At 54.0% G+C, this 22,302-nt stretch overlaps 1 protein-coding gene across 2 annotated transcripts in view, besides 1 other annotated feature; it reads right to left on the reverse strand.

Annotated features, from left to right (window-relative positions):
* The window catches only part of ADAMTS2 (ADAM metallopeptidase with thrombospondin type 1 motif 2), a 234,609-nt gene that overhangs the window by 184,397 nt on the left and 27,910 nt on the right, over positions 1–22,302 (reverse strand). The gene's annotated exons all lie outside the window — the stretch shown is intronic.
* Positions 6,517–7,016: an enhancer, noted in NCBI's record as "H3K4me1 hESC enhancer chr5:178728767-178729266 (GRCh37/hg19 assembly coordinates)". NCBI's record gives its function as "activates a minimal SCP1, AML or CMV promoter by ChIP-STARR-seq in naive H9 embryonic stem cells {active_cell/tissue: H9 hESC(naive)}" and the evidence as "EXISTENCE:reporter gene assay evidence [ECO:0000049][PMID:30033119]".

Consider the following 22,302-nt stretch of genomic DNA (forward strand, 5'->3'; position numbering starts at 1 on the left):
GCTCCCCACCCCTTCACCTTCTGCCCTGTCCTACAGCCCAGTAGGCAGACCTGATGGACTGGCTCCTCCTGGCTCTCCCTGGGTGAAGGGGGGCACCGACAGGAAACCAGGGCTGGGGAGAGAGACAGAAGGTTTTATTTCTCCCGCTGTGGTGGCCCCCAGCCTCCCCGCCCTGCAAGCTCCCTCGTCCTGCCCGCAGCTCTGTGAGTTGTGCCTTTGTCAACTCCTTTCTGTTGATCCCTTATGTGTCCCAGGCCCCTGACTGATCCGACATGCCCTGTAGCCCGACCAGGCAGCCCTCACTCTCATAGTCCAGGTGCTGGTCCCATCTCTAGGGTTTGGGATGGGACTTCCACACTCCAGCCCAATTTCCACCCTGAAGCACACGGGTGAGCCAGTTCCCTGCAACCACCACAGACTCAGGACACAAAGTCCCAGGCTGGTCCAGAACATTCTGAGCAGGGCAGAGGAGCCCCGTCCATGGCGGCTGGGGCAGTCCCGCAAGTGAGAGTCGGGGTGGGAGGAGCTGGAGGCTCTGGAAGGGATTCAGGAGCAGCCACCAAGGCCACCTTCCACACACGTCCTCAAAAGCCCTTCCATATTCCGCTGAAACCACTAGTGGGGCCTGTGCTGGGAGCAAGGGAGGCGTGGAGACAGGTGGGGCTGTGGAAGGAGGCTGCCATGAGGAGGGAAGGCTCCTCCAACCCAGGACGCCCCACTGCAGGAGGAAATGCCTTTCTGGCTGTGGTCCAGGAGACTGAGGGTCCTGCTCAGCCACACAGCACGTGCCAAGGTGCAGAGCCCAGGGGAAGAGCAAACCGAGGAGCTGGCGGTGCCTCGGACGATGCAGTGATGGTGAAGCAGGAGGATGGGGGAGGCCTGAGCCGTGGGGACAGGAGAATGACCACAGGATCCACACCTCTGTGGTCCGTGGGACCTCAGCAGACGCTTTGGGTGATGCCAGAGAGCCATGGAGGAGGTGGCGGCAGGGGCTGTGCTTCTGAGAATGCTGACAATGATGGGACCCGGGAGCAGCCGGAGCTCAAGGGACGGGCAGGGGCAATGCCGGGGCCTGTCTGTGCTCGGAGGAGGGGGAGGTGGGTGAGCAAGGAGGTGGGTGAGCAGGGAGCGGGAAGGTCCCAAGGGGGGATGCTGCCTGCAGAGGCCAGCAGTCAGGAATGTCGAAGTAGATCCTTCAGCGAGGCTGGGGCCCCTGCTCGGAGGCAGGAAAGTAAGGGAGGAGGGATGGGGCTGGACCCAGCAATTCAGCAAGGAAAGCAGGAGGCGGGAGACAGTGGTACAGGCAGGGAGCAAGTACAGCAAAGAGGACCAGTGGCATCCGACTCGGATAAGGAAGGACCGCAAGGCAGGTGGAGATGGGCTCAGTGGGTAAGGTCCCCAGGGGCGGCCTGGGCAGAGGGCAGGAGGGAGAGGCGGCGGGCAGAGAGAGGCTGCTGCGTGCTGTGGGTCAGGAGGGTGGTGCCTGGGAAGACCAGCTGCCTGCCTGCTCCCAGGGTGGACAGGGGACAAGTCAAGCATAAAGATGCAAAGGTGCAGGCCGAAAAAAGGACGGGCCACTGGTATCACTAACACAACCATCAATGGGTTTAACATTGCAGTTAGAGATCAACCAGACTGAGATGGAACAAACAAGGCATGCCGTCTGTAACACATGCCTGAAACATGCTAAAAGAGAGACAGAGAAAACTGCAAACCCAGAAAGCAGGGTGTCTGTAGTATCATCAAAATAGAACTCAGAGCAAGTACTAAATGACTGGAAACTCCTGTTGTATTGACAAGGCTTGGTGAAAGCACACAGTCACCAAGCTTTACAAACCAAGGGCCGCAGCATCTGCCATGGTTAGAAACACAAGTGGCTCAACAGCCCTGTCAAAGGGAAATGCGAACGGCCACTCCCAGTGGGTGACAGGTCTCCTAGACCACAGCAGAGGGGCACAGACTCATTGACTCGGGAAATGGGCCGGATTGATTTCTGGATGGATCTGACGACTTACAACCGAAAGCAAATGAGTATTCTTTACAAGCATGGGGGAGCATTTACAAAAATTGATCCCGGCCTCCCCTGCCTGCCTGGCCTGAATCCCCCAAGCCTGTCAGCCGTAGCCTCCCACCCCACCTGCCTGGCAATGCAGAAACCTGAGATTGCTGCTTCTCGGCACCAAGAACCAAGAGGTGAAGTTGGTATGGGGACCCCCTTCTGCCCCACTCCCTGCTAGTACTGTCCAGCCAGAAGGCCCTCCCCACAGCCTGCCCCTTTCTCTTGACTGTTCCCTTCCCCAATACGCTGAGGCCCCATGTCTCCCAGGACCCTCCCTCAAGACCCCGGCTTCCCTCTCCAGGGTGACTTGGGCCCTTGCATCATGGGGCATAATGCCAACTCCCCACCCCTACTGATGAAGTCACTGGCAGAGTGCCCCCAACGCCCTCCACTATAATCCCAGAGGACGGAGAGCTCTTGCTCTGAGCCGAGACAACCCACTGCCCACCACCAGCTCCCTCAGGGCTCTCCACAAGTCCCTTCTCGCCTCCCCTGCTGCGTCTTCGGCCTCCTCCTCTCTAAAGTCCTCTCTCAGCCCAACAACAGAACCGGGTCTCTTCAATCCTGAACAAGAAGACTCTGCTTCCCCTCCAGCCACAGGACCTCCCTTCCCTCACAGCCCTTCTCAGCAGGCTGGCCTCTGCTGCTCCCTCCCACGCACCAATGCCCATGGCCTCTGTCCCTCCTCCCCAGGGCCCCGGGGACCTCCACACCCTCCTGCTCAGCCTCTCTCTGGCCGCCCCCAGCTGCTCCGGTTTCCACAGCACCAGAGGCCAGGGTCCCCTCGTGCCACAGTGACCCTGCAACGCAGATTCCGTGCTCCCTTCAGAAGCCCACCTGACATTCATAGAAGCTGAGCAAACACCAGGAGACAGAGGCAATTTCAGAAATTCCCCGAGGCTCGGGGAACCCAGGCTGTCCCCTTCACTCCTAACTCTGTGGCAGGCCTGGCCCTGCCAAGCCTCCATGGAGATGAGCTCTTCCTGTCCCAAGGTGATGGTGTGAAGCGGGCCTTTGGAAGGTGATGAGGTCATGAGGGTGGGGACCCCGTTAATGGGATTAGTGCCCTTATCAGAGAGGCCCAGGGAGCTTGTGCACCCTCCACTGTGTGCAAACACAGCAAGAAGGCCCCAGCTATGAGCGAGGAAGCAGCCCTCACCAGACACCAAACCCACTGGCGCCCCGATCTCACATGTGAGACTCCAAAACTGTGAGAAATAAACTTCTGTTGTTTCTAAACACCCAGTCTGTGATATTTTGTTATGGCAGCCTGAACGGAGGGACACCTGCAGAGCCTGGGATGCTCAGAATACACACGTGGCAGGAGGGGTGTGGACGGGCTCTACGGAACTGGGAGATGCCTAGAAATGCTAGAGGGGTTGAGGGGGAGGCATTCACAAGCCCTTGTAGGAAACTGAGATCTGCGCTGGTTAGGGGTGGGGTGTCACTGGAATGGCAAGATGCAGATATAAATGCTGACAAGACCCAATTTAAACCCAGAGATGCTAAGGTCTGAAAACATTTGGATTATACTAGGAATCAACGCAAAGCTTAATAACCTAAAATCCAACCACTCGGAAGTTTTTTCAACATTCCTCTAAATAGCTCTTAAGTTACTGGAATCAAAATCATAAATCTTTTTAAAATGATGACAGTGAGAATTCAGCACATCAGAACCTGTGGATGAGACCAAAGCCACCACCAGAAGCAAGTTCACAACCTTCTTAATTATAGACCAGAGTGAAAATAAATGAAGCCAGTGCTCCAGTCAAGAGGGCAGAAGAGAGAGCAACCATAAACCTAAAGATGTTGATACAAATAGCATGAGTGACAAGATCTCACTTCTGAGTGTGACATATATGTAACAAGATGGAAAAACGGTTAGTTTGTATAGCTGTAACAAATTACTGCAAATGTAGTGGCTTAAAAACACAAATTTGTCCAGGCGCGGTGGCTCACGCCTGTAATCCCAGCACTTTGGGAGGCTGAGGCGGGCGGATCACGAGGTCAGGAGATGGAGACCATCCTGGCTAACACGGTGAAATCCTGTCTCTGCTAAATATACAAAAAATCAGCCGGCCGTGGTGGCGGGCGCCTGTAGTCCCAGCTACTTGGGAGGCTGAGGCAGGAGAATGGTGTGAACCCAGGAGGCGGAGCTTGCAGTGAGCCAAGATCACACCACAGCACTCCAGCCTGGGCAACAGATCAAGACTCCAACTCAAACACACACACACACACACACACACACACACATTTATTATCTGACAGTTCTAGAGATCTGAAGTCCACAATGGGTCTCACTGGGCTAAAATCAAGGTGTGGGGAGGGCTGCATTCCTTCTGGAAGCTCTAAGGAGAATGTTTCCTTGTTTTTTTCCAGCTTTTAGAGGCTACCCACATTCCTTGGCTTGTGGCCCCCTCCTCCATCTTCAAAGCCAGCACCGGAGCATCTACTGACCCCTCTCTGACTCTGAACTTCTGCCTCCATCTTCTACTTTTATGAATCCTTGTCATGGCCAGCTCACACCTGTAATCCCAGCACTTTGGGAGGCTGAGGCGGGCGGATCACAAGGTCAGGAGATGGAGACCATCCTGGCTAACACAGTGAAACCCCGTCTCTACTAAAAATACAAAAAATTAGCCAGGCGTGGTGGCAGGCGCCTGTAGTCCCAGCTACTCTGGAGGCTGAGGCAGGAGAATCACTTGGACCCAGGAGGTGGAGCTTGCAGTGAGCCTGAGATTATGCCACTGCACTCCAGCCTGGGCGACAGAGTGAGACTCCGTCTCAAAAAAAAAAAAAAAAAAAGAAGAATCCTTGCCATTACACTGTGCCATCCAGGATAATCTCCTTATCTTAAAAGTCAACTAATTAGCAACCTGACTTCCATCTGTAACCTTCACTGCCCCTGCTATGTCACCTGATTTATTCCCAGGTTCTCGGGACTGGGACATGGACAACTTTGGGAGAAGGATTATTCTGTCTCTCACAGAGACTATCTCAAAAGGGTAGGATTTCATGGTTTTTGCTTTCTCCTTAATACTTTTCTACATTATTCAATGATAATGACCATATGTTTTGTATGTTCAAAAGTAATTTTTAATTGTGAATAATGTAAATTATTGTGAATCATGTTTTGTCAGTTGTTGTGAATAATGTTTAATTGTAAACAATGGAAAACTAAAGAAACAAAAGAATAGCATCCTCTTATAGCACCCATTGATGTCTTTGCAACACTTTTTGGCTGGTCTTTTGTCCCCGTCCCCCTGACTTTGAGCTGCCTGAGGACAAGCCAGACCCCCCTTCACTTCTGTGGCTCTAGCAGTAAGCATGAGGACTTTGGCACAGCAGGCTTTAGCAGACGTTTCTCAAAGTGAAGATAAATCCCCTTATAAAGGAGGCCCTGGTTTAAGAAGAATGATGTGCACACTCAAAAGTGCACTTTAAGGCCAAGCTCCGAATAAACACGATGATATTATTTTATTTAAGAGTCTTCATACATACAACTTAATTCAGTAACAGTCTGAGAAACGCAAGCCAGCAGACAGATAAACCGTTATGGCTCTGGCTCTGGCAAAAACTCTTCATCTACGCGGAGCCAGAAGAAAGCCAATTAAAAGTCGGAGAGGTCCCGCAGGACAGAGGCCGGAGGATGTCCCCACACACTGAGCACAAGCCCCAAACACAGGCTTCCCCAGTCTGGAGCCGGCGGCCAGCCCCCTCCTGGCCTCAGTGAAGCCTGGACTCCTCACTCTGTCCAAGTGGGAGGAACTGGTCCCAGCTGCAAGAACCGCCTACTGTGATCTGGGCAAAGGTTCTGGAGGCTCTGCTCGCTCCTGTCCCCCAGGAAAAAAAAAAAAAAAAAGACAGCAGAGGGCATTGCTCAGGGGCCCAGCCTGGCTGTCATCCCTGAACATCCTGGGCTGAAGGAAAGAATTGAGCCCAGCCGAAACTTGAGATCTTTAGACTTAAATCCCCACTCTGTCACTTGTGGCTATTTGGCCTCTTTCGACCTCTGCTTTTCCGTGTCTAAAATGGCACAATATTACCTACTTTACAGAGTTGTCAAGGGATTGAAAATAAGATAATGAAGGCAAAGGAAGTGAGCTCAGTATCATTATGCCCATTTTACAGATTGGGAAACAGGCTCCAAGAGATGACATGACTCTTTCAGGATTAGACAGCTAATGAGTGGTGGATCCGGATCTGCTCGCACAGGGCTGGGCTCCTCCCCAGCCCCGCACTGGGACAGGGGCATCTCTTGAGGGCTGCCCTGTGGCGCCCAGATGCCGCAGGGAGACAAGGCTGTGTGCACAGATCTCTCTCCACTGGGCAGCACCTGAGTAACTGGGGGAGAGAAGTGGGTTTCAAGCATCTCCTTTGTGAACCACTGGGCTTAAGTATGCTGAACTTCAGTTTTGACGCAGAACTTGGAGACAACCCATCCTCTGGGAAAAGACACAAATGAGGGCAGGACCCCTGCACCATGTGCCCTGCTGCCCCAGCAGTGTCCTCTCATCCAGCGTGTGAAGAAGGAGTGCAGCCGGAGAGCCGGTGGCAGCAGGGCGTGCGGGATGCCCCGCTCACAGCGTGCTGTGCCCGGGAGAGGAGCGAGGGCAGGCCCCCAGCTGCTTGGGAACAGTCAGCCTGCACACCTCGCCCCTGGGTGCCCTTCCAAGGCAGCCCTCAGGCCCCAGGCTCCGGGACTCCCTGCAGAGGAACTGCAAGCCAGTCCTGGCCCAGCACAGCCCTTCCGCCAGCCTCTGGCCAGCGTCAGGAAGGGGAGTGTAGAGTGAGTAGGAAGCCACACAGGAGCAGAAGCCGGGACTTCTGCCTCTCACCCCACTGCATGTATGAAAATAGACGGGGGTGATGGCCGGGTGCGGTGGCTCATGCCTGTAATCCCAGCATTTTGGGAGGCTGAGGTGGGCGGATCATGAGGTCAGGAGATGGAGACCATCCTGGCTAACACAGTGAAACCCCGTCTCTACTAAAAAAATATAAAACATTAGCCGGGCGTGGTGGGGGGCGCCTGTAGTCCCAGCTGCTCTGGGCGACAGAGCAAGACCGTCTCAAAAAAAAAAAAAAAAAAAAAAAAAAAAGCGGGGGAGTGATAAGGCCCCGGACAACCCAAACTGCAGCAAGATTCTCTGCGGAGGCAGAGCTGCCTCCTCCTGGGGGTCCTCTGGACCAGGAAGGAGCCCTGAGGACTTGTGGCCCAGTGGGTCCGGCTTCCCAACCTCCACCTTGCCAGCAGCACCGATAGATGTGGCCACAAAGGTGCATTCACATTTGCGACCTGTGGCTGAATGCAGACCCTGGGTGCTATCTCCCGGGGGGGCAAATGGCAGTAAGCAAGCAAAGAGGAAGTCGACAGAGAGTGACGCAGCCGTGAGGACAACAGCACAGAGTATTGTTGAGGGGGGCGGGGGACTTCCTGGAAGAGATGACACTGGAGCTGAGGCCTAAATGATTGGAAAGAGGCAGCGATGGAGAGATCTGGGGAAGTGGGCTCCAGCACAGAGAACAGCACATGCAGAGGACCCGAGGTCAGAACAGACCTGCCATGTTTGAGGAAAGGGAAGAAGGCCAATGTGAGTGGAGTGTGGAGAGCAAAGGGTGGGCGGGGGCGAGGGACAGGAGGGCAGAGTGGTGGGCCTGGGTGGGGTACAGGAGGGCAGAGTGGTGGGCCTGGGTGGGGTACAGGAGGTCAGAGTGGTGGGCGGGGGCAGACTGCACAGAGCTTCCTCTGCTGTGGGGAGGAGATTGGATTTTCTCCTCTGTGCAGTGGGCAGCCCCTGGAGGGTGGAAGAGACCTGATTCCCCTGTCAGTTGCTCTGGGCATGTTGTGAGAATTGCTGGGGGCAGGATCTCCCTCCCTCTCTCTATGAAATTCCTGTTCAGCAGGGATCTGCCTATGGCTGTATTTCTGCTGGTAGAAGTCCCTCCCTGATTATAAACCGCTCAACACATAGAGAGGTCCCTAGGAGAAGGTTCAGGTTCCAGTAGGATGGTGTGAGCACGCCTCACCTGCATCCCCCACTGCCTGCAGCCACCCAAATGCACTGGATTCATGAGCAGCTAGCTGAGGACCCTGCAAAATAAATAACAGCATGCAGATTGGGGAAGAAGACTAGAATGTGAGGTTCAGCAAACCCGCAGAGTTTACTCTTCATTCTCTGGTATTCCTCAGCCTAGATACAAGGCAGGTCAAACTCCAGAAGCGGGCACTGGGTACAGACAGACAGAGCTCGAGACAAGCCCTGTTGTTGTAGCTCAAGGATAGAAAAAGCATTTCCGAATGCTCAGAGCCAAGCCAACACCTCATTTTTCTTTCCTATTTCCTTTTTCTTTTCTTCGTGTTCTCACACGCCAGCTCATGGCAGCCCACAGGCACCTAAAACTCTAAGAGGGGAGCCTGGCTGTGTAGCTGGAAGTGCTGTGGTCCTAGAAAGGTGGAGTGAAACCCCATTGCTCTTTCCTCTTTTGGTCCTCCCAGGAGTGTAGTTGCAGGAAGTGTGCAAGACAGCAGGGTCAATAAAGCCCCAGCTTTCTGGCCAGAGAGATTTAACAAGGAGCCGCAGGAAACTGGACAGGGCTAGGAAGATGGCAGAGACAGCAGAGCTTGGGGAACTGGCATCAGAAAGTTGGTTAGAAACTCCTGGGCTCGTGCTTGAGCCGTGCACGAGTGGGTCTGACCCTAAACAACACGCCATAGGTTCTGGGGACTGACTTAGGAGGTGGACCAATGCCCAGGTCCCAGACGTGCCACTGGGTTGTGTTTACATGGGATTGATCAGAATAGGACTGCACAGGCTTTGAAAATGGACCTGACATTGAACCGCAATCCACAGGCACATTGGAACTTGCAGCCGGAACCCAATTAACCCAAGGGTTAATTACCTGATCAAACAAAAATAATGACCTTCTCCATAGCATTTAAACAAGATCCAAAGTCTCATAGGGTAATATCAAAGTGTCCAGGATACAGTCCAAAATTACTTGGCATACCAAGAACCAGGAAAATCTCAACTCCTCCAGGCAAATACAACCAACAGATAACAAGACTGAGATAGCACATATGTTGGAATTAACTGACAATGATCTTAAAGCAGCTATTATAAAAATACTCCATAAAGTAAGGGCAAAAACTCTGGCAACTAATGGAAAGATAGTCTCAGCAAGAAACGGAAGACATATTTTTAAAAAGGACCAAACGGAAATTTTAGAACTGAAAAATACAATAACAGAAACTTTAAGAACTCACTGGATAGGCTCAAGAGCAGAATGGATATGACAGAGGAATGAGTCAGTGAACTTGAGGATAGAGCAATAGAAGTTACCCAATTCAAACTGCAGCGAGTAAAAATATTTTATAATGCCAAGAGCCTTAGAGACTGTGGGAAAATACCGAAAGATCTAACTAACAGTCATGTCCCAGAAGGAGAAGAGAAAGAATGTATTACTAAACAAATATTTGGATAAATAATGGCTGAAAACTTCTCAAATTCTGTGAAATGCATAAACCTACCAATTCAACAGATCGGCAAACCTCAAATGAGAGAAATCCAAGGAAACACAATCCCACACGTTATAAACACACTCTGAAAACTACAGACAAAAAAAAGTCTTGAAAGCAGTCAGAGAAAAACAGTGCATTACTTATAGGGGAAAAATGGTTCAGATAACTGCAGATTTCTTATCAAAACTGTGAAGTCCAAAGGAAGTGCAAAACATTGTTAAAATGCTGAAAAAAAAAAAAAAAGAACTGTCAACCCAGAATTCTATCTCCAGCAAAAATACACTTCAAGAATTAAGGAGAAATAAAGACATTCTCAGATGAAGCAAAACTTATAGAATGTGTGGCCAGCAGATCTACCCTAAGATGGTTGCTGAAGGAAGTTCTTCAGACAGGGGGAAAATGATGCTAGAAAGAAATTTTGAACATCAGGAATAAAGGAAGAGCAACAGAAATACCTGAAAAAATATAACAGATTAGGCTCTTGCGTATTTTAAAGAGGAATGATAATGCTGTCTGATGTAGTTTTCCATGTATGTAGGTGTATAAAAGACAACAACATTCAGGGGAGGACAGAGGGACCTATATGATGGCAGGGTCTCAACATTCAACTTGAAGTGGTAAAATATTGATTTGAAAAAGACTCTGAAGAGTTATATAGGTTTATTATAATCCCTGGAGCAACCAGTAAACACTATACAAAGATATACAACCAAACACAATAGGTAAATTAAAATTGAATACCAAAACATGCTCAAATAGAAAAAGCAAAATAAGCCCAAAGCAAGTAGAAGGGAGGAAATGATAAGAGTAAAAATCAATGAAACTGAAAATATGAAAATAATAGAGAAGATCAATGAAACCAAATTTGGTTCTTTGTAAAGATCAGTCAACTGATAAATCTCTAGTGAGACTGAAGAAGAGAAACAGAAAAAAATATGAATTACCAGTATCAGAATATTTTTAAAAAGGATATCACTAATGACATCACAGCCATAAAAAAGATAATGGAATAGTATAAACAATTCTATGCATATAAATCCATCAGTGTTGAAGAAATGCATGATTTCCTCAAAAACTATAAGCTACCAAAACTTACCCAAGACAAAGTAGATAGCATAAAAAGTTCTGTAACTATTAAAGAAAAAGAATTCATAGTTTAAAATCCTGCAAAAAAGAAATTTCCAGGTCTAGACGGTTTTACTGGAAAATTCTACTAACCTCTCAGGAAAAAATGGCACCAATTCTCCCATTCATTTTATGAGGTCAACATTACCCTGATATTAAAACCAGACAAAGACAGTTCAATAAAAAAAAAAACCCTACAAACCAATATCCCTCATGAACCTATAAACCAATATCCCTCAATGAACATAGACACAAAAATCCTCAGCAAAACACTGGCAAGTCTAGTCCAGCCATGTATAAACAGCAGAGTGCACAACAGACAAGTCATGTTTGTCCTGGATTTGCAGAGTCTGGCACAATATCCAAAAGTCAGTGTAACCCAGCATATTAACAGACTGAAGAAGGAAAAAAAATATGCTTATATCAAGTGATAGAGAAAACCATATGATATGATTCATTCATGACTAAAAATTAAAAACTCTCAACTAACAGAGAAAGAAACGTGCTCAACCTGGTAAGAATATCTACAAAAAAACTAAAGCTAACACAATACCGCATCCTGAGAAACTGTTTTCCCCTAAAATAAGGAGCATTTTCACGACTCCTACTCAACCTTGGGTTGAGTCCTAGACAGCACCTCTGTACACACCCAGCACCCAGCACAGACCCTCAGGCCAGGGCAGGAAAGGGCCCCAGAGAGCTTCCCCAAAACCCGTGTTCCTGGGGAAGGTGGATGTCCAGGAAGGGTGACTGGCCCCTAAAGCCTAGGGGAAGCGGGGGCCCTCCTGCTCCAGCCTCATGAAGCTTTGATCTCCAGTGCCAAGCCCGGTGCCAGCAGAGAGCCAGGCAGATGAACTCAACCAGGGAAAGGACACCCAGGAAGGAAGCAACTCCATGAGATCGAGTCTCATAGCACCAAGTGCTCCCACAGGCTCTGAGGACATGGCTCTTATTCCAGGACCAGGCCTGACAGGAGCACAGCCTGAGGGATGAGAGGGCAGGGCAGTCTTCTGCTGGGTGGGGAATTGGCCACCAGGGCCAGTCCCACATCTGTTGTGGCCCTGGCAGGATCAACCCTGGGCCTGAGTCCTTGGAGGTGAGGCCAGCACGTAGTAGAGGGGCAGCCGAGTAAGAAGAACCTCTCGGGGAAGTCAGTGGCCAGCCAGCCTAAGCCCGGCCCAGACCCTCGCCCTGCTAGCATGAGACAGACACAGGGGGCCCGCACTGCAGAGCTGCCCCGGCCCACGCGCCCCTGCCCTGCTGTGCTCCGCCATCTGCCCCAGCAGTGCTGTGAGAGCATCGCACCCTGCAAGCCTCAGCCTTCAGGGACGGCAAGACCTGGGGCCCACAGGAGGTCCACCGGCCCTCTCAGGGCTCGAGCACCCGGCCAACCCTGGGTGGCCACTGCTCAGCACTCCAGGACAGCTCCATGACACAGAAGCAGCTCTGCCCATGAGCATTCAACAGCCCGGTCCGGGGGGCACCACCACGCAGGGGCTTCCCGGGTCATGCTGCACCATCCACTAATAGCACCATCACGTATGCCAGGCTGGGAGCCCGGGCGTCCCAAGCCTGTGACCTCATTCTCTATGCTCCTCACGGCTGCCCCACAGAATCTCTGAAACACGACTCAGACCTGTCACTGCCTGCCCAAAGCCCTCCAGCGGCTTCCCACCACATGACTGCCCCGGTCCCCGCTGATTTCTCCTTCACTCAAGTGCCAGCCGTGGAGATCTCCTCTGTGTCCTTGGCACACTTCAACTCAGCACCTGCCTCAGGGCCTTTGCACCTGCTGCTGCCTCCACCTGGAATGGCCTTCTTCCAGAAGTCCAGGTCCTAGCTCCGATGCCTCCTCACAAGGACCTTGGTGAAGGGTGTCCCTTCTCCATCACACTCCACACTGCCATCCTGTCCTATTTTTTTGTAACACCATTTCCCAATCATCGACACGTGGGTTCTTTATTGGGTCACTCTCTGCCCCCTGACCAGGGATCTTACGAGAGCAAAGTTGTCCTTGCTGGGTCCACGTCACCAGACCAGTGCCTGGCATCTCACAGGCATGGAGTTGAGTACGGGAGGTCGCCGGCCCTCCCGAGGCTCCCTTCCCCTACTTCAGGATGGTGTAAGGTTTCCTTGCCAAGGTCCCTGTGGTGCAGAGTGGGCCAAGTTTGCCGCCTTCTGGAGCGACAACAAGGAGAAAACAGGGGTTTAAGTGGAGGATCCGGTGCTCTGATTTCTCCCCAGTTAGTAAAGCATTCAGGCTGCTCGGTGGAGGTGGGAAGACAGGCGCTGAGAGTTGTCTGACACAATTGTCTTAGCAGCAGGAGACGCTGATGGGATGTCGGGAGTCACCAGGACCATCTGACAAATGACCGCCTTGGGGATCCGTGGAGCTCAGCGGTGCCCAGAGAGAGCACTCGAAATGCCAGCTGGAAAGGTCACGCACGCCAGCTGGAAGGGGAGCCGCGCAGCCCCTGGGCAGGCTGAGGACAGGAACGGGCAGCCGCCACTGTTCACGAGCAAGGGTGCAGGGGCACCAGAGCCCACAGGAGCTCCTGCAATGCGATGACCATGCCTGCAGGCCCCCATAATAGACAGCCTCATTTTTTTTTTCTAGGCAAAACTTTGGGAGGATCCTTTTTAATTGTATTTGCAAAACAGTTTCTCCCAACATGATGCCCATGTGTATGTGGATTGGGGGAAATTCCCAAGGCCTCTCAGAGAAGTGCCTCCTTCCTAAGGTGGTGTCCCAGCAGATGAATCTGGCTGGCGTCCTGAGTGGAAGCAGGGCGCGGGCTGCCATGGAACCCCACCCTCCTGCAGGTTCCTGGCCCCTCTGCCTCCTCTTCCTTCCCACCCCAGGGGCCCTGGGATGCAGCTAGGCCAGCTGGGAGCCAGACAGCCACTGAAGCCCTCGGGGTACTGTTCCCTGCCTTTAGCATCCCCCTCAGCTGCCCATTCATTCAGCCATTCTTCTAGGAGGACAGGCCAGGCCATGGTGAGGCCCTGGGTCCAGGGAAAGATACGAAGAGGGCTGAGGCGGGCGTTCCTGCCCTTGGGTCTCTTCCGCTGCCCTGGCAGCCCCGTGCCTCCTGACTGTGGACTGGAGTTCTGCAGCTGCGCCATCCACAGGAAGCTACATGGAGAGATGGGCCAGCTCAGCAGAGAGGCGCAAACACCAATTCAGTTGAAAACTCTGTGTTCCCCGGGTAGAGGCCAGTTAGGAGCCAGCATGCCTCCCAAGGGTTGTGCAGGGAGACTTCAGCCAGGCACCCACTGGGGCAGACCCAGTCCCACTGCTTCTGCCTTCAGTGGCCACAGGCCTGGGGCCATTGGTGGATAGAGCTGGAGAAAGGCCACCTCTTCGGGACCCAGGTCACAGGATGTCCCCCCAAAGCCATCCCAGTCAGATGTCTGCAGACACCTGCTCCCCTGGCAACAGTGACCCAGACCTGACCTTCAACTCTAACTGTGCACAGCTTCCTAGCCCGGCCCCCAAGCCTGAAGCCTGGTCCCTCCAGACACTGCAGAAAGCTGGGGCTGACTGTAATCCCAGCACTTTGGGAGGCCAAGGTGGGGCGGGTCACGAGGTCAGGAAATAGAGACCATCGTGGCTAACATGGTGAAACCCTGTCTGTACTAAAAATACAAAAAAAATAGCCACGCATGGTGGCACGCACCGGTAACCCCAGCTACTCAGGAGGCTAAGGCAGGAGAATCGCTTGAACCTGGGAGGCGGAGTTGCAGTGAGCCGAGATCATGCCATTGTACTCCAGCCTGGGCAACACAGCAAGACTCAGTCTCCAAAAAAAAAAAAAAAAAAAAAAAAAAAGGCTCTGGCCCTGCCACTTGACCGGGTGGGTCACCTCTCCGTGCCTCAGTTTCTTCTATTTAAAATGCATAGGGGAGGAGCTCTGAGGGCAAAACACCCTGGGTTTGCCTCAGGGCAGGGCAGGACCCTGGACCCAGCAGGCCCCCACTGCATGTCCCTCCTGTCCTCCCTGCCCCACCCCTGCCCTCTGGCTTCTGGGGTTCAAGTCAGGGAGGCCTTGGGAGTAGCCTGCGGCCCTGGGGACAGACAAGGGTGCCCCTGAATGTCCTGTGGATCTGCCCAGGTTGATGCCTTGACTGCTCCTTCCTGTCACCCAGGACCCTCCAGGAGAGACCACCCCGGACTACGCCTGCCCAGGGCTCCCTGCACGTCCCATGTCCCCACAGCGCTCAGGCGCTGAGATGCTCTGCTGTCTGCTGTGGGGGCCTGTGGACGGCCCTCCTCCCCCACCAGGCTGCAGCTCCCAGCGGGCAGGGATCTAGGCATGCCTTGCTCATACCACAAGGCAGAAACACAGTGAAGAAAGACAGAGAACTGGTCTTGTTGTCTTTGGGGGCTCAGCCCCCCAGCTCCAAGCTGGAGGATCAGGAGGCATCTACAAGCCTTTCCGAAGCCCCCCCATAGGCTGCCTTGCAGGGTACAGTATGGCCTAGAGAGCCCCAGAGGGCTCCCCTGGTCATTAAATATCTCAGGATTTCCAGGAACAAGGAGAGGTTCAAGTCCACAGAAGAATCTGATTGGCGTCTCTGGGCCACCCACCGGTGCTAGAATCCCGGCTGGGGTGAGGGATGGTGGTGCAGAGCCTGGCTATGCAAAATGTGGCCTGGAGCAGCCTGGGGGCCCCCGGGAGCTTGTTAGAGATGCTGAATCCAGGCCCCATCCAGACCAGCTGAACTAAAACCTGCATTTTGGCAAGTTCCCAGGTGGTCTGATGACATTGAAGTCTGGGACACACTGCTCTAGACCTTCCCAGGGTCCCTCAAAGGTGGGTGTAGAGGCCCTACTGCCCTGCCCTGGGGACGCAGAGGCATCAGGGCCTTAGTCCTCCTGGGGACAGTGAAAGGGCCACCACCCCAGACCATGGCCAAACTGCAGGGGTCAGGGAGGCATGGCCCAGGACAGCAGCTCAGCAGGGTGCCCAACCCCACCTGCCCCTGCCTGCCCCAACCCACTTGCCGGCTGGGTCCTCTGGACCTCCGCCCCTTTCCACCCCAGGTTGGAGCCAAAGACCACCCTCTCCACTCCCCAGCCCCCCACCCCCCAACCCACCGAGTGCAGGGCCCGTTGACTCCTATCTCAACAACAACAGGAAACCATTTTTCCAGACAGCATTATATAAGGGGAGGATGCGTATGTTCAGCAGATGTTCACTCTGAGGCCGAGCCTCCCCCGCCCTCTGAACAGGAAGGCCACGTCCCCATCCCTCTCCCCCAGGGCCTGGCGCTCCTGGCCCAGGTGGAGCTGGCCTCTGGCTGGCCACTTCTCTGGAAGGGCCTCGTCCAGCTCTGTCCTGTGCAGGGTCATGCCCCTCCACTCTGCTCTCTCTAGCCCATGGGCAGGCGCCGCCTGGCTCAGAGGCACAGCAATGGGCCAGGGTCAGACAGTGGTGAGCAGCATGCCAAGAATCACAGGGACATCCACCTGCCAGCAAAGCCTCAATGACAACAAAGGACCTGAACAGTGGACACTGACAGGGACTCTCCTGCTTGACCAAACTTTAGTCCAGCTCCTGAACCTTCTCCTTCGCCCACTTCCTTGTAAGATCCAGTTTATCAAGAACTCTGCTAAGTCATGAATGCCCCATCTCTCCATATCTGATCACCCTTGATATCTGGTCAGGCTCGTCCTCCCCATCACCCCTCTGGTGATGTCTGGTCACCCCAGCCTGTCTTCAGCTAGAATCATGTTAGGTGAGTTTAGCTAGAATCCCCGACCCCTGATGTTGCTCTTAGTAATTCCCCATCCCCTGGCCCCTACCCTGCTCCTTGGCTATCACCCCCCACTCGCCCGTGCTGTATTCGGAGTTGAGCCCAGTCTCTCTCCCCGACTGCAAGAGCCCACTCTAGCGGTTCCTGTGTCTATCTCCATGGTCCTGAATAAAGTCCGCCTTACCGCGCTTTAACAAGTATCATTGAATCATTTTTCATTTAACAACACTCTGCCTTGCTGAAGGGAAGGTAGAAATGACAGCAGTGGGGAGGAGGGAGAAGGGGCATGGGAACCCTGTGCCGCTAAGGGCATACTCTAGACCCTCTGCCCCAGGCTAATGTTAGAAGCTGCAGAGGTGCAAATATAACAGTCAGACGACCATGGCAGTGGTCAGCTGAAAAATGGCCCCCGAAGACACGTCCGGGTCCCAATCCCTGGAACCCATAAATGTTACCTTCCATGGCAAAAAAGAACTTTGTAGATGCGGTGAGTCCAAGGATCCTGAGATGGAGTGACTGCTGGATTTTCCGGGTGGGCCCAGGGATAGACAGAATGTTTATATTCCCCCCAAATTCCGATGTTGAAAGCTACTCCCCCAAGGTGATATATTAGGAAGTGGGGCCTTTGGGAGGTGATTATGTCACCAGATTCCATCCACACGAATGGGATTTGTGCCCCGATCAGAGGGACCCCAGAGAGCTCCCTCACCCTTTCAGCATGTGAGGATGCAACAAGATGCCTTCTTGAACCAGGGAGCAGACCCTCACCACAACCATATGCACAGCTTCCAGAACCGTGAGAAATAAGCTTCCGATGCTTTTAAGCCGCTCCGTTTATGGTATTTGGCTATAGCAGCCTGCATGGACTAAGACAGGCCCTAAATGCAATCACACTTCTCTTTATCAGAGGAAGGCAGAGCAAGATGAGCCAGGCAGAGGAGAAGGCCACGTACAGGCAGAGCAGAGGGAGATGGAGGATGTCGGCCCTGAAGCCCAGAGCGAAGAGGCCACAAGCCAAGCACTGCTGGCTGCCACGAGGACCTGGAAGAGCCCAGGACGCATCCTCCCCTAGAGGCTCCGGAGGGAGCGCGGCCCTGCCGCCACCTGCGTTTTGCCCTGTTGAAACTGATTTCAGCCTCCAGAACCGTGAGAGGATACAATTCTAATGTTTCAAACCAGCAAGCTTGTAGTAATTTGCAGGCAGCCTCAGAAACCAATACAATGGGGAACTCTGATATGGACTAAAAGTGGTGAGAGAATTATGGTAGAAGAATGGGGCTGGGAGGGGCAGCAGTGTTGTCAGTGAGCTAAACCCTCCTCTTCCAGGGCAGGAAGTCAATGGACAACATCGAAACCCGATACATCAAGAAACAGCAATAGAATAGCATTTCAGGACTTCATGGCAACCCCAGAACCAGCCAGCAGCCTAAAGCCTTACCGGGGCTCCCTCCTCAGGAGTGGCCTGTGAAGAGGGGACGCACACGCATTCACACTCATGCACACACACACACCGAGACAGAGGAGGGCCTGGCCAGAGCAGGGGTGTCAGCAGAGGGGACGCACACGCATTCACACTCATGCACACACTCACACCGAGACAGAGGAGGGCCTGGCCAGAGCAGGGGTGTCAGCAGAGGGGACGCACACGCATTCACACTCATGCACACACACACACCGAGACAGAGGAGGGCCTGGCCAGAGCAGGGGTGTCAGCAGAGGGGACGCACACGCATTCACACTCATGCACACACTCACACCGAGACAGAGGAGGGCCTGGCCAGAGCAGGGGTGTCAGCAGAGGGGACGCACACGCATTCACACTCATGCACACACACACATCGAGACAGAGGAGGGCCTGGCCAGAGCAGGGGTGTCAGCAGAGGGGACGCACAAGCATTCACACTCATGCACACACACACTCACACCGAGACAGAGGAGGGCCTGGCCGGAGCAGGGGTGTCAGCAGAGAGGACGCACACGCATTCACACTCGTGCACACACACACTCACACCGAGACAGAGGAGGGCCTGGCCAGAGCAGGGGTGTCAGCAGAGGGGACGCACAAGCATTCACACTCATGCACACACACACTCACACCGAGACAGAGGAGGGCCTGGCCGGAGCAGGGGTGTCAGCAGAGGGGACGCACACGCATTCACACTCGTGCACACACACACTCACATCGAGACAGAGGAGGGCCTGGCCGGAGCAGGGGTGTCAGCAGAGGGGACGCACACGCATTCACACTCGTGCACACACACACTCACACCGAGACAGAGGAGGGCCTGGCCGGAGCAGGGGTGTCAGCTCCAGGACCAGGAGTTCCCAGGCAGAACCTGATGGTGGGGCGGGGGGGTTCCTCACACACCCCACACCCCTGCCTATGCCCAGACCTCCAGCTTCAGGCTCTGCATCCACACGGAGGCTTCGGATTGGGCGCAGCCTGGGAGCACACAGACCGGCCAGGGCCAGGGCCAGGACTGGCATTTCCCGGGCTCCTGGTCCCATCCTGCCCCTCCCACCGGGTCGGCCCTGTCCTTGTCTTGCTCAGCTCGGGGGAAGCACCTCTCGCCAGCCATCTGGGGCTTGGCTGGGCCTCAGCCTCCTGGCTGCCACGTCTCACTGGGAGCTGGGCGGCCGCCAGCTCTGAGCTAAGTGAGCGCAGAGGAGAGTGCAGGGAGCGGCAAGGCCAGGCTCCTCCCCACCCCGTGGCGTGGCGTGGCGTGGCCGGAATACTCAGTTTTCCCTGCTTTTTGAGACAAGAGTAGTAAATGCACCGTGCTGTACTCAGAGCCCAGGAAGCAGCCCTCCCACCCACAGCGCTCCTGCCTCTGCAGCCCCCCGGGCCGTGTCTCTCTCTCACGGGCCCACATCCTCACTGGACTGTCTCCCTTTTACAGATGAGGTGAGACAGCATGCAGAGGCCCATGTGCTTGTCCCACAGGGTGACGGGCCAGAATTACAAGCCCCTGATTCTGGGGGCTTCCACGCTCTTCCACCAAGCCCTTGTAGCCTTCCTGCACCCAGGTGGGGCTCCTGTCCCCCGCCAGTGCCCCCAACCTCTACTCCAGCAGACCTCCACCTACAGACAGGAGTCTTGGGCACACACTTTTTTGTGCCAGGCCCAACCAAGAGCTGCAAGGGACATAGGAATGTCCCTTAGCATGGCCCGGGAGCCTCAAGCCCAGGGCCTACCTAGAAGTAACTCTCTTTCCTGACATTAAGCGACTCCCCTCCCAGAGCCTAATCACAGCCAGCTACGCCCCCTTCTCCCAGTTATTCAAGCCTGGAAGGAACCTGGAAGTGGTACTGGATTCCTACACCCACCCCCCCCACAATCCCCAAGGCCCCACCCCGGCCTCCTCCTCCCCCTGCCCCTGCATGGAGCAGGCCTCACTCACTCTCTCTCTTCTGTTCCTCCTGGGTCCCTGCCTCAGACCCTCCCACCTAACACAGCCTCTGCCCCACCCCAGAGGGCTCCTCCCAAGACACGCGTCCACGTCGCCATGGACAAGATTAAATACCCTGGCTTCTGGAAAGCACTGAGGCCACAGTTGGCTTCTGGAAAGCACTGAGGCCACAGTTGGCTTCTGGAAAGCACTGAGGCCACAGTGCTTTGGGAAGGTCATGTCGGGATCCCAGGGCTGACTGCACTCCTGCCAGTGAAGTGGGGGTGTCCCCAAAGGGGGTTTGTTTCCCACCATTGGGAGCCAGGATCCCAGGTCAGGAAACAGAGCTTGGGTGGGAGGGAAGCCATCTCTGGGGACTTTCCTCCCATCTCCCTTGTCCCGCTCACGAGGAGAAGCCAGAGCTAGAAGCTGGCATGAGCCCTCCTAGCACCACCAGCCACAGTCTCCACCTCCGGGGACACGAGCTGGGATCTGAGTGGCGCAGGTACTACGTTCTAGAGACGCCGTACCCAGGACCGCCCATGGCACGCAGAGGAAAACTGAAACAACGATCCTTCCAGAGACAAAGCACAGCCCCAGATGGCCACAGGAACTGGCCGCCCCCAGGAGCTGCTGAGCACAAACGCCACTGGAGAGAGGGCTTGGTGGCTGCACCGAAGAGCAGAACAGAGGAACTGAACAGCCACAGCCACCGCAGAACTGGGGGATCTGGACAGAGCTCTCGCTGTGTGCTAAGAAAGGAGCAAGAGACAGAGGGCAGGGAGAAAAGCTGCGAGACGTGGGCAAGTCCCAGAAGAGAGTCGGGGAGGTGAGAGAAGGAATATTTCAAAAAACAAAATTACATGAAAGATTCCAGCATGGATGGGTTCCTAGAGGCCTTATCAATACATATATAAGAAAAAGCTCCATAGCTAGACCCACGATAATGAAACCTAAGAACATCAAAGACAAAGAGAAAGTTCAAAAGCTCCCAGAGGGAAAGAGCAGATCAGATCAGTGTAAACAGGGAGGCAGCAGGCAGACATCCAAGTCCCAGACTGGGGCGTGGGCACCGGGCAGCAGACGGGAGACAAGAGCCCAGGAAGTCCTGCTGGCAAAGAATTCAAAGGCTCTTGCCTGGAGGGAAGAGGCTGCCCCATTCCGAGGCCAGAGCCACCGCAGCAGAGGACAGCTGTGTCCCTCAGAGGGGTCGGCAGGGACAGAGGCCACACCAGAGCAGCAGAGATCTAGCAACCCAGAAGGGTGACACCCTGGGAGATGCTGAGAGCAGCAGGGCCCTCAGGAGCAGGGCTGGGGAGTCGGCCACAGCTCAGGGGGTCATTGCATGTGGGCATCCCAGGCTCCTGCCTAGGCCCCCTAGGGCTCCCCAGCCCCACAGAACACCCTCCCCACTCCCAGGGATGGCATTTGAGACCTTCCTGCTGTGTCCCTCCAGGAACCTGTGAGCTCCAAGAGAACAGAAGGCTGCCTCTTCAACCCCAGTCCAGCAAGGCCCAGGGCAGAGCAGGCACGGAGAACTGCTGTCGAACATGAAGTGGGGACGGGACGCAGTGGTGTACACCTATAATTCCAGCACTTTGGGAGGCCAAGAACCGCTTAAGTCCAGAAGTTCAAGATCAGCCTGGGCAACATAGTGAGACCCCATCTCTACAAAAAATAAATTTAAAAAATTAGCCAGGCATGGTGGTGCACACCTGTACTTTCAGCTACTTTGGAGGCTGAGGCAGGAGGATCCCATGAACCAGGAGGTCAAGGTTGCAGGGAGCTACGATTGCACCACTGCCTTCTAGCCCGGGAGAGAGCAAGACCCTGTCTCAAAAAAAGGAAATATATTTAATTTTTTAAAAAGAATACACAGTGGTGAGAAAGGATGGAAAGAAGAGAGGAAAGGAAGGAAAGGATAGGGAAAGAACAAAAGAAGGAAAGAAAGAAATTCCAGCTAATTCTCAGCAACAGACAATTACAGGAACACAAGGACAAAGCCCAGAGCCCCAACCCCACGTGGCCTGGGTCCCCACAGCCTCCAGCCCTCCTGTCACTCTGCCAGCTGGCAGCAGGGCCACCTCTGAGCATCCTTTTCCTCAGCACTTTGGCGTCTTTCCTCCCAGTGGTTTCTTGGTAGTTCCTCATAAATCCATGCGTAGGTCTGGCTACAGCTATCCTTGTCCCTGAAGATGGACTCAGCTAGCAGAGTCGCTGATATGGTAACACAATATCACACATCTCATCCAAGCCTGCTCGGACGCTGCCCTTCTGACCCCGATTCCTGTCACCAACACAACAGGAAAGGAGCTTGAAGACCCAGGAGGCCACAGCACAGTTCCTCGTGGAGGGAGAGAGATGCGAGCAGGTGGGCGGAGGGTGCACTCATGAGACTTCTATAAGCACGGACCCAGAGGCCATCCCAGCGACACTGTGTGGGGACTCCT

Source organism: Homo sapiens, chromosome 5 (assembly GCF_000001405.40).
Source record: "Homo sapiens chromosome 5, GRCh38.p14 Primary Assembly".
Classification (NCBI taxonomy): Eukaryota; Metazoa; Chordata; class Mammalia; order Primates; family Hominidae; genus Homo; species Homo sapiens.